Genomic DNA, 12404 nt, shown 5'->3' on the forward strand with positions numbered 1-12404 from the left:
GATTTCATCTTGCGCCACGTGCCCAGCCATAAAACAGGGATAACGGCACTGCCTAAGAGGCTGAGGCCTTGAGAGCTCATTGCTTTGCATGGAGTGCTGAAGACTGACAGATGAAGGGCTCTAGGCATGAGGCGGGAGGCTGCTTCACCTGCCAGGTGGTGAAAGGCAGGCCTGAACTTCCATCTCCTGCCGCACTCAGAAGAAGCTGGCTACATTCAGAGGCCCCCACCTGGAAACTACTAATGAAGCTGAGGAAGTCACATCCAGCCCCACTGTAAGCAGAGGCCACCTCGATCTTGGCCCTGCCCCAGCTGGACTCCCAGAACACCCTGGAGACAAATGCCCTCCACAGTCCTTTCTTCCTTTGGGAGCTACCAGAGCCTCACCAGGGCAATTCCTGCATCTCAGGTCATGAACTTCGGTTCATCCCCTGATACTCATCAGGTGCTTATGCACACAACACTGTGCTTTCCCCCTTTTGCTTCGGCAACAGAACTCCTCACATTCTCTGCTGCAGCCACACCAGCCCCTCAAATCTCTTGAAGGCTTGGTCCTCCCTTGAGCCACAAGGCCTTTGCATAAGCTGTTCCCTTGGCCTGGAACTCTCTTCCCCTCAGATTCCACTCTCAGCTGAAGCTCCCTTTCTGAGGCACAGCTTCCCTGACCCCTGCCTCAGTCCACCCTCCAAGCCCACCCTAAGTACCCCCAGTGCCACGTGTCCTTCTGCACCATGGCAATGCCCCACTGATCACTTCCTCCATTGTTTATCACTGCCTGCTGTGAGCTGGGCATTTGTGTGGGATCCTCTGGCTGGTGTCTGTCTCCCCTAGATCAGAAGAAAATACAGGGATGCCAGCCGGAATCTCAGCACTTTGGGAGGCCTAGGCAGGCAGATTGCTTGAGCCCAGGAGTTCGAGACCAGCCTGGCCAACATGAGGAAACCCTGTCTCTACAAAAAATACAAAAAATTAGCAGGTGTGGTGGCAGGTGCCTGTAACCCCAGCTACTCGGGAGGCTGAGGCAGGAGAATCACTTGAACCCAGGAGGCAGAAGCTACAGTGAGCCGAGATTGGGCCACTGCACTCCAGCCTGGGTGGCAGAGTGAGACTCTGCCTCAAAAAAAAAAAAAAAAAAAAAAAGAAAAGAAAGAAAATCTAGGGGTACTGCTGTTTCTGTAAATCCTCAGAGCCTGGCTCACAGAACAGAGCTCCATAAATATTTGTGGAATGACTGAATCCTCGTTAAAGCACCTAACCCATAGTCTTAACTCCCCTCCTTCCATTGACGCAAGTGAAGATACAGTTAGGATTTTTAACCAGATCAAATATCTGATTTGTTAGTGAGAGATCGCAACTTGCACGACACTGACCACTACTGGTTCTAGTGGTGACCTGGATTTAGTGCCATTCTGTATGAAACAAAACCAGGGGGCTGTGCTTCCGGCTGTTTGTGCGGTTTTGTGCTTCATTCTTCATGGGCACAGATGAGCACGGTGATAACAGTGTTTACGAAGCCAGGTGCCGGAGACAGTGAGGATGGCTACAGGAAAGAAAGGCCACAGATTGCTCTTCAGTGGCAGTGAGAGGAGACCTAATGCAGAGGCTGCACAGTGGTGCTGGGATTCTATAACCAACAACAAAAGCAACACCCTCATTACCGACACTCCTGCAGCTCAAACTACTTTGCCTTTGTGCGTTGGAAACCCAACCCAAGCCCATTTTCCCCACTGGAATTATTTGTGATGATGTGAAGTTTTTGGAGATGCAACCATCCCAGAACAGGCACGCTCAGATGAGAAGACGTGGGAGACACAGTTCTAGCAAACAGTTCTACCGCTCAGAGCAAAGCCTACGTCACACAGCCTCTAGGGTCTGGGCACAGTGTGGGGACAGGAGGGCTGGCCGCCCTGCCTCTTGAAAGGAATACGCAGCTCTGCAGGTTCAAGCCACCCAGCTGAAGTCCTCAAACTGGGTAACACGGGCCAAGATGCCACCTGCACGTGTCCTGCTACATCACCATGGATCTGGCCAAGGAGCCACCACCCCCTCGGAGCACGCATGCTGGGGTTGTCAAGGAGACCAGTGCACAGGACGGCCGCACCCAGGGCTGGAGACCGGCAGCGCAGGACAGCTGCATCCAGGGCTGGAAGACAGACTCGAGTTCTGACCCATCTTTCAATGGGAGAGAAAGAATCCAATCCCCTGCTAGGGCCACAAGGACATGATGGGTTTGGATGCCATAAGAGATGAGAACACTCCAAGCTGAAGGCAAGAAGTGATTACCCTGGTTTTAGGCAGTGGTTGGGGGGTGGAGGTGGAGGGGAACTCACCTAGTCCTTCTTTGAAAGACAGTCAGGCTACGTGCTTTGCAAAGGGTTAGGAGGTGGACTGTGTGGGAAGGCAGGCGAGAGGGAGTTTCTTTTCATAGCCTGTTTCCATGGTGTCTCACGGCCCTTGGCAAACCCCAGCTGGGGAGGCTTGGACGGCCAGGAGGCCCCAGGTCCACCCTCCAAGGACTATCCCCTAGTCCTCTGGGCCCCAAGAGTGACAGAGGCCACAGGCAGGCGGCTACTCTCTCTTGCCTCCCTGGGGGAAGGTGGCAAGAGGCCAGCGATAAAGGGCAGAGCAGAGAAAGAACAACTCCAGGGGCCAGGGCTGCGGCTCCCTCCCTTCCACGTCCCCTCCTCCCCCTCCTCCCACGAGCCCACCCAAGGGGAAAGTTTTCTCCCTGAAGACCTGCAGGGCTGTCTGCACAGGAGACCCTCTCACGAGAAACACATTCTTGCCTCCCGCCTCTCCGCCTGGACAACCCAGATAACCAGATAAGGGCCTCTTTGATTTCCCGTGTGTTTACACAAGCTGTGGCCCCAAGTCTTGGAAAGAATCAACCACCGCCAGGCAAGTCAGGACGCCTCCAGGTGGGGTGAGGGGAGACGGCCGCCTTACCTGCTCCTGGGAATTCATCACTCGAAGCTTCATCTGCTTCAGGTAGGTGGAGGTGAGGGGCATGTTGTAATCAATAATCCCAGAGACCAGTGGAGATGGAGGCTCGTTTTCTGGCAGAAAGAACAAAAGGAAAGCCCTTTCAGTCTGTGCTGCGGGCCTGTTGCCCACATGGAGCATTTAACAGAGCCCGTGGAAGAGGAAGCCACCTTGGAGGAGAAGGGACAGGTCAGAGGTCGCAGACTCTGTGGCTCACCCACATCTGGCCCAGAGATGTGGACTGCATGGTGTCAAAAATATTTTTTTTTTATTAAATGCCAGTGTTCTATTTAGAGATTTCACACGTTAAAAAACAATGAGGCCGGGCGTGCTGGCTCATGCCTGTAATTCCAGCACTTTGGGAGGCCAAGGCAGGAGGATCCCTTGAGCCCCAGGAGGGGACACAGGCCCCAGGAGTTCGAGACCAGCCTGGGCAACACAGGGAGATCTCGTCTTTACAAATAATAAAATAAATTAGCCAGACGTGGTGGTGTGTGCCTGTAGTCCTAGCTACATAGGAGGCTGAAGTGGGAGGATCGCTTGAGGCCAGGTGGTCAAGGCTGCAGTCTGCAGTGAGCTGTGATGGCACCACTGCACTCCAGCCTCAGCAACAGAGTGAGAATCTATCTCTAAAAAACAAACAAAAAAACCCAGCAAACCCACCCCCACAACACACACACACGTTTATAGGAATTTTTGGCTTCTTTGAAGAACATAAGGTCTGGCCACATGGGGCCCCCACTCCCGAAGGCAAGCAACCACTGCCACTTCAGCAGCCACTTCTTTTAGACAGGGTGTGTGGCTCCCATTTTGCCACAGTCCCCACCACTCCTTATCATATTGCACAGCTTTGCTCATTTGCAAGTATCAATTATGATACTTGCCAGACCCTTGAAGGCATCTGTGTTTCCAACCACTGTCTAAGTCAGTTATCTTCCAGGTGAACACATGCCACTCTCACCTCACCCAATCCCGCCACCCCATAGCATCCCCCAAAAACATCCTCAGGTGCCTTATGCCTCCCAGGTCTGAGCCAGGCCTTCAGTAGCCCCCAAATTCTGGTTCCTCCTTCATCATATGCAGAGGAACATTCTCCTCCCATTTATTCCTTTGTTGTCCTGAAGATCAAAGTGATGCATGTTCTTTTTGCAGAGAATTTGCAAAGTACAGAAAGATGTAAAGAAAAAATTTAAAAACCATAATTGCACCACGCAGCTTGGCATATGCTTCTGTTTATTTTTTCCCTGTGATTTTTCTTTTTTACACATGATCTCATAATGCATACAGAGAATTCCAGTCTGCTTTTAAAAAGTTTTTTTTTCCTTAACATTTTGTCATAGGTATTTTCCCCAACATCAAGAATCTTATTTTGCTTTGTAAGTAGAATTTTTATGGCCATGTAATATTTTACCATAATTTGCTTAAGTCATTCTCTAACGATTGGCTATTTAGGTTGTTCCCATTGGGGCTATTATAAACAACACTGCAGGGGACATCTTTGTGCATAAATATTGCTCCGTATTTCTGATCTTATTTCTTGCCTTTTTGGAACAGATTACAAGAAATTAAAAGGTAGGGACATAATTTGATAACCATTAAAATCTCTGACCAAGCTGCTGTAGGAATTGTTTCAATTACTTGTTACCTGGCCTCCTCCTCCTTCTTCCAAGGACTTCAGGCCAGATTCATTTTGCCCCAGCCTTTTAATCAAAAGGTGCCCCTGGTACATAGTCCCACTGATGGGCTGGGATTTCCATAGCGTGAGGAAAAGTGGGAGCAACTTCCAGACCAAGTGCCCTCTACCATCACAAGGAGGCCCAAGAGACAGGCTGCAGGGTGACAGGGCCGAGGTCCAGGAGGACCAGAGGATATCCGGGGGTGACTTATAATACCTGCCCCTCAAGAGCCATAGCCCAAAAGGGTCCCTGCAACCTTGAAAACGCGATACCAAGGGCAAGAAGCCAGACATAAAACGACAACCACTGTATGATTCTACTTACACGAAATACTTAGAATAGGCAAATTCAAAGAGACAGAAAGTAACTCGAGGTTACTGGGGACTGGTGGCTGAGGGAATGGGACGTTATTGCTTAATGGGTACAGAGTTTCTGTTTAGGGTGATGAAAAAGTTTTGGAAATAGATAGTGGTGATGATTGCTCAACAGTGTGAATATAATATCTTTAAAATGGAACGATTAAGCCGGGCACGGTGGCTCACGCATGTAATCCCAGCACTTTGGGAGGCAGAGGCAGGAGGACTGCTTGACCCCAGGAGTTCAAGGCCAGCCTGGGAAACATAGTGAGTCCCTCGTCTCTACTAAAAGGTAAAAATGTTAGCTGGGTGTGGTGGCACGTGCCTGAAGTCCCAGCTACTCGGGAGGCTGAGGTGGGAGGATCACCTGAGCCCAGGACGTTGAGGCAGCACTGCGATCCAGCCTGGGTGACAGAGACTGTGTCTCAACAACAACAACAGAAACAAACAAACAAAATTATTAAAAAGGCAAGTTTTTGTGCTGTAAATGTTTTACCATAATTTAAAAAGGAAAAAAAGTCTGCCAACAAGCGGTGAAGTTACCCAAAGAGGACAAGGGAAGTTCCTGCTTGGCAAGGATAGGAACAGCCCTGCAGAAAAGGTGGGGACCCGGAATAGCTGGGGCCTAGAGGATGGGGGTCCTCTTTGACGCTGTGTACTTCTGGTGACTTTATAGATCAAATAACATTTTGAATAAAGTTTTACAGGAATGCAGAACTTAGTTTTGCTCTTTAAAGCTACCCTGTCACATATAGAATGTTTCATTCTTTGTTCTTTGAGGAAGAAGTAGACGTCGGCTGGGTGTGGTGGCTCACACCTGTAATCCCAGCACTTAGGGAGGCTGAGGCAGGCGGATCACCCGAGGTCAGGAGTTGGGAGACCAGCCTGACCAACATGACAAACCCCCACTCTCCTAAAAATTCAAGAATTAGCTGGGCATGGTGGCGCATGCCTGTAATCCCAGCTACTTCAGAGGCTGAGGCAGGAGAATCACTGGAACCCGGGAGGTGGAGGTTGCAGTGAGCCAAGGTCATGTCATTGCACTCCAGCCTGGTGACAGAGCAAGACTCCGTCCCAAGGAAAAAAAAAAAGTAAATGTCACTAATGGAATGGCTAAGAAACTGGCCTGAAAGGAACCACCCCCTCCTCCTCCTTTTTTTAAGAGAGACTTCTGCTTGGTTGGGTGGCAGGGATCCTCTGCACCGATACCAAACTCAAATGGGTTTCCACCCCACCGTCAACCTAGATTTGACTTTCTTAACCTCAGTGGGGTTTTAAACCCTAGCCCCATACATTGACCGGGTCGGATGCCACATGTCAGGCAGGCAGTCTAGTGATGACACTGAGATGGTATCGCTCAGAAGAGCCGTGGGTCCTGTTTTCAGAGGTGGATGTTTGGACTGAGAATTCTGCCATTTCTGTTTCCTCTAAGAGGAGGCTGTCTGGTGAGAAGCTGTTAAGCACCATGGTGAGTGTGACATCATGGTGAGTGTGAAGGGCGCCCAGCACTCTCGCGGCCCCGGTCGGCCCTTCGTTGGGTGTTGCAGGGATTGTCTAGGTTTGGGAGGCACGGAGGCGGGGAGCTGTGTTCTTCTACTGATGGTCGCCCCTGTCCTGACTGCAGTGTCATGACTGTTCATGAGAAAGTATCTTTAATAAAGCTAGTGACAGTGTGGCTTAGGAAAAATAAAACAGTGGCCAGGACAGCACCCTTGGGAGGCGTGAGAAGAGGTCTTCCTTGGCCTGTTCCCACCCCAGTGTCTCCAGAGATGAGAAACCACTTCCCGTGCCTGCAGGTAAGCCAAGAGAGCTCAGAAGAGGAAGGCAGGATGTCCTGGTCTTGGGGAAGCTGGAACATCCCGAGCAGACCCCTAAACCCATCGGAGAACACCTTACATTGCTGTAAGGTGAAATGCTTGATTTTGCAGTTCCAGAATGAGAGTTCTGTGGGGGAGGGAGGACCTCCGCAGGGAGGGGACATTCTAGGTGAGGAAATGAGCCATGGAGCCATGGGTGGGAGGTCAGAGCTCAACCACACCAGGGTGAGGAGAAAAGCAGGCAAGCTTTTCAGCAGTGAGGAGCCCCAGGTGTTCTGGATTCAATAAGTGGGTGCACACTGAGAGGATGGGCTTAGTGGGAAAGAGACGGAGCAGGGGCCAGTGGAAGCCGCAGAGTCAGATGCTCACCAGTGAGAAAAACGCCAGGATGGGGGACAAGGTCAGGTGGAAACGTGAACAAGGAAGAAGTGGGTTCCTTGGACTCTGAGACACGCCGCCCCCCTCCCTGCCCATGGTCAACATGTGGTGCCACACTCGAGCCTCTACAAATGACCTGATAGTGCGGCACCGCTGGACTCTGTTGCCATGGAGAAGGGTGAGCTAGGAGCTAGCAAGGGTCACGGAGCCTAAATCATCCAGCAGGTTGCTGGCAAGAGAAGCACAACAAGAGCCCAGAGAGATCTTTCAACATCTCTTTGCCAAGAAAAATGGAAACCAGCCCAGGCACTAGACCTAGTTTTATGCAGTCTCGAGAATAATCAATGATGTGGGTGCTTGGGCCAAGCCAGGTTGTTTGCTGGCCTGTGCAGCTGGGCGCCAATGGCACTCATCAACCAATGCAAACCTCAACCATGGGAGTGACCCTCATTTCCTCGTGGGAACACCAGGTGGTGATGCTCACAAGCTTTCACCTACAGCACGAAGAACTCTCAGTCCAGAGACAGGTATGAAAGATCTTCCAGGCAGGGGTGGGCGTCGAAGGATGTGTGCACGATGGGGGCCTGGCACAGAGAGGCCGTGAGACCAGCCAGCCTCAGGGGGTTCAAATTTGGAAACAGAGATCCCAGGCCTGAGACCAGCTCAAAAGGTGGCAAAAAAAAAAAAATCTCCTTCCTGGGGAAGTAAATCATTGAATTGGCAAGTCTTCGAGGAGTGCTGATGTGCATGCTATCCGGGTGGGGAACGTGAGGAAACTGTGTGCGGTGCAGTCCCCAGGCTCAGGAAACAAGGGTGAAGGATGAGCAGGGTGCGACAGACGTGAGGCCATTAGGGTCACTGGAGGAAGAGCTGAGAGGGCCCCGGAGTCGCTCAAGGAAGCTTCGTAGAGAGAATCGGAATGGGACTCACGAACTATTGCTCAGCTGACAGCTCCTTAGCACCTGCTTAGGGCTCCACACACACACTCTGGTTAGAGGCTCCCAGGAACCTTGTGAGGTGGGTGCTCATAGTAATACCCTGACTTTACAGATGAGGCAACAGCACACAGAGAAGCTATGCAACCTTCCCACAGTCCCACAGCAAGCAAGTGTGAGAGCCGGGAGAGGCCAGGCTGGCAAGGAGGGATGTGGAGGGGCCAGGCATGGAGGGCCTTGGAAACCACGCAGAGGAGTCTGGGCCTGGTTGTGAAGGGGTGGAGACCCAAGTGGACAACCTGCCTACTGAGGAAGAGTCAGCATTGCTGCCCATTGGCTACTCCCAGTTTGCAACCATGCAACAATATTTTGTCACATCAAAGAAAACAGAGACATGCCTCCAAAGGTCCCTTTCCCCAAGAGCTGGGCTGGTCTAAAGTCACACCCACTTTGCATGCTGTGTCCTCAATTCCTCAGGGACTGGTGGAAGAGGAGTGTGGAGTCAGGAGGTCCTGGAATTTCCCGTCCTCAGACTTCCTGATCCTCTGCCACCTCCTTTGTTTATGCTCCTGGCACTGGGGGAGGGCACGGGGCTGTCCAGGTCCCCCCCACTCTGCTGGGGAGAGACCGCTGAGCAAAGGAGGCCACTCTACTTCCTTTCTTTCTTTTTAACATAAGGCCAGGAAGCCAGGCATTCTCCCAGCAGCCCTCAAGGAGCCTCCATCCTGTCCCCTGTCCCCGCTCCCTCCCACCTTCCTGGGGCAGGAACACTGGGTCTGCCTCTGGGGCTGGTGCAGGCTCTGCTTTCCCAGCAGCTGGAGAGGGAGAAGGGAGGGCTGGCAATGCAGGGGTGCCTGGGAGACAGCAGGCTATAGCTGCATCCAGTGGCCAGCATGGCGGGCAGAGATAGGATCTGCAGGCTTTCAGCGGGGGCAGGAGGAGGGGAACCTGGGGACGGTCCAGGAGGCGAATGCCTCTGGCCACTTAGCAGACAGTGGAGCCTTTCAGACTCAAAACTCTCCACTGGCAGCTTCCAGAAACCAGGCCTTTCCCTTCTAACCCTGTCCAGGGTGTGGACCCAGCATGCTTGCCTGGCAGGGCTGGGGGCCACATCTGACCCTACCTGGGTAGAGGCAGACCTTGTGTCTCTGTTGGGCCACCTGGACGTTGGCAGCCTTGTGTCTGGGCACCGTAGGCCACGACACGGGCTGGAGGCAGGAGGCAGGGTGATGCTCCCCAGGCACCCGCTGCGTCCCAGGTGCCCTCCACAATAGGCTCACCCTCACCACCCTGAAAGGATGGCATTCCTTCCACTTTGCTGATGAGAAAATATGGTTTCCTGCCTGCACTTCTATCTCCTGGGAGAGCTTGGATGTATGATTTCACCTCAACACCTCTCTGTGCCTCAGTTTCCTTACCTGTAAGCCAGGACTAACACCTCATAGGATCTTTGTAACTGTCATGATCAGGAACTGCTCAGAGAGGTTCCCTGTCCTGCCGAGGGACACACAGTGGGGAACAGGGCTGCACACCAGACCTGCCTGACTCCAAGTCCATGCCCTTCCATGAGCCACTTCCCCGGGCTCCTGCTCCCTCAGCGTCTTCTCCTCTCCCTGCGAGGAGAAGCTCCGCTACCTGGGACAGAGATGGCATTGTGTCTGAGGATGGGGGAGGATGGGTGAGAATGGGCATGGTGCTAGTCTTCTGTCCAGCCTGAAGAAAGCCCCAGGAAAGATGGGCTTCAGCGCTGGTTTATATTCTAGATGGCTCCTGGCCTGTGTGCTCCCTCGCTCCCTGGCCTCTTTCTCCTCCCTGGGGGTGGGGTGTGGTGGTGGCAGCCAGCGAGGAGAGGAAGCAGGCCACTGCTGTGCTCCGCGTTGCCCTCCTGGCCACACAGAAGCCCACAGATGAGGAGTGCAGCCTGCAGCATGGGGAGACCTCGCAGCCATCAGTGAGGAGTGCGGAGGGAGCTGAGGAATGCCCTCCATACTGCCGTGGGATGTGTGGCAGGAGAGGGGAGCGGATGGCGCCTCAGACACCCCAGAGCAGCCCACAAATGGAGCCCCTCTTGGCTTCGCCTCTGTTCCTCCAGGCAAGCAATTCTGTGTCTGACTCCGCCAGTTGCTATGGAAACAATGAGGAAAGGAACGGGAGGGGACAGGCGGATGGGTGGGCAGGAACCAGGCAGTCACCACTAGGACACACACCCCTGGCCCCTGCGGCCTAAACCCTGGCAGGGTGGAGAGTGGGGCAGGGAAAGCCCTCCAGCCCATCTGCAGGTACCAAATGCTGTCTTGGCCCAGGGGTTGCAGCTGCTGCCTGGCCAGGGGCAGCCCACGTGGGTGGCAGCATTCAGGATCACTGGCTCAGGCATGCATCGAGGGAGTGTCCAGCATTATAACAGGAACCGCAACAGCCACAGCTCTCTCTTCCTGCACCAATGCCAGGTACAGGGACTAACCCATATCTTGTCAGCCTTCTGATTAACCCCATTTCACAGATGAGGGAACTGAGGCTCAGAAAGATGAAGTCCCTTGCCCAGGACACACAGCAGCTGAATGGTAGTGCAGCCCTGGAGCCCTGTTCTTAACATGGGAACCAGCATTTATGAGGGATTAACTAGATCCATTCCTGCCCCTCGTGCTTTGAAGTTGGCCCATGTGCCCAATGAAACAGCCGTGGCCTGATGGCTCCCAAGGGCATGGAAGCCTCTGGATTTGGTGAGTCAGCTGCTGTCAGAAGCCGTTCACGTGTGTCAGGGACAATGAACACAAGCAGAAAGCCCCGCTTGACGCCCATGCTCCCAATCCTTTGTTGTCTGCTCAGGCTTTGCTGTGGATTTTTCCTTCCCCAGATTCAATGGATGCTACTTGAGTGCCACCCGGATAAACGGCGCGCCCTTCATTCGAGTCTGTTTCCATCCTCGGGCCTGACTTCAGCAACTTCCACAGGCCCGATGCCCGGGAGCTGGCATGATGCACCAGGCAGTCCTGGAAACCCTGATAAATCGCCCACCTGGGCACCATTTCTCAGGGCAGCATTATAATTGTACCAGCCAAATGTGCTGGGCCGTCTCAATGTGCCAAAGCCACCTGCAAACAGATGGGCCCCCAGATTTCCTGGAGGCCTCTGGGATGTTCAGTTTGAGGGGGTGCGGGGGTGCTGAAGTGAGGTCCTTGCTGGTCTCACTGGGCAGGACAGAGCTGGAGGGCATGGACGTCAGTCCAAGGGATCACCTTTGGTGGTCACAAGTGCTCTGGGCATTTTATTTTATTGTTTTTTGAGATGGGGTCTAACTCTGTCACCCAGGCTGGAGTGCAGTGGCATGATCATGGCTCACTGCAGCTTCCACCTCCCGGGCTCAAGCAATCCTCCCACCTCAGCCTCCCAAACTGCTGAGATTACAGGCATGAGCCACTGTGCCCAGCCTGCCCTGGTCATTTTAAATTCTCATCAGTCGGCCGGGTGCAGATTACACACCTGTAATCCCAGCACTTTGGGAGGCCAAGGCGGGTAGATCATGAGGTCAGGAGATCGAGACCATCCTGGCTAACATGGTGAAACCCCATCTCTACTAAAAATACAAAAAAAATTAGCCAGGCGTGGCGGTGGGCACCTGAAGTCCCAGCTACCCGGGAGGCTGAGGCAGAAGAATGGCATGAACCCGGGAGGCGGAGCTTGCAGTGAGCCGAGATCGCACCACTGCACTCCAGCCTGGGCGACAGAGCGAGACTTTGTCTCAAAAAAAAAAAAAAAAATTATCATCAGTACTCCGTGGGTTTACTTATCAGAGGCCACATGGGTGTGCACAGGGTGGAAACAAGCACCAGGGAAGATGTATCATTAACAGGTATGTGGGTGGGAGGATGCATGCACACGTCTCAGGGAGGGTACAGGCCAGACCCTCGTGCATGGAGAAGCAGTGGGAGGCATGGATGGAACTTTGAGAACGGGGCAGGCTGGCCATTCCCAACTGGAATCCGGCTGGGAGGAAAGGGGCTGGCCGGGGCCTTGCAAGGCAGGGGAAACATGTTGTTCACTTTTTTGTTTTGTATGGTTGGTTTTTAAGTGAAATTTGAGATTTAAAAAAAGTTAAACGAAACAAAACAAGGCGCTTTGGGCAGCACCACGGACCCATACTGGCCTCTGGGACTAGCAACAACAGCTGCTGGACACTTTTCTGTGCCAGCAAAAGCTGGCGTCTTCAGGGACAGTCCACTCTTAGATGGCCCCCGCCCTAGCCCTCCAGCACGCCACCCCT

At 53.1% G+C, this 12404-nt stretch overlaps 1 protein-coding gene and 1 long non-coding RNA gene across 2 annotated transcripts in view, besides 1 other annotated feature; one reads left to right on the plus strand and one right to left on the minus strand.

Annotated features, from left to right (window-relative positions):
- Positions 1 to 12404, minus strand: part of NOL4L (nucleolar protein 4 like) — a 142275-nt gene that overhangs the window by 65343 nt on the left and 64528 nt on the right. Inside the window, exon 4 of the mRNA NM_001256798.2 lies at positions 2946 to 3055. Within this exon, the coding sequence (NP_001243727.1) occupies positions 2946 to 3055 (110 nt within the window). The remainder of the gene's footprint in view (positions 1 to 2945; positions 3056 to 12404) is intronic.
- Positions 1558 to 11884, plus strand: LOC101929698 (uncharacterized). The gene is made up of 3 exons (NR_110619.1): positions 1558 to 2267; positions 2814 to 2987; positions 10998 to 11884. It is a non-coding gene; the product is annotated as an uncharacterized LOC101929698 (long non-coding RNA).
- Positions 2577 to 2972: a silencer, noted in NCBI's record as "fragment chr20:31098781-31099176 (GRCh37/hg19 assembly coordinates)". NCBI's record gives its function as "represses an EF-1alpha promoter that drives an FKBP-Casp9 reporter gene in an ReSE screen in K562 erythroleukemia cells {active_cell/tissue: K562}" and the evidence as "EXISTENCE:reporter gene assay evidence [ECO:0000049][PMID:32094911]".

The sequence above is a fragment of the Homo sapiens genome, chromosome 20 (genome assembly GCF_000001405.40).
Source record: "Homo sapiens chromosome 20, GRCh38.p14 Primary Assembly".
Classification (NCBI taxonomy): Eukaryota; Metazoa; Chordata; class Mammalia; order Primates; family Hominidae; genus Homo; species Homo sapiens.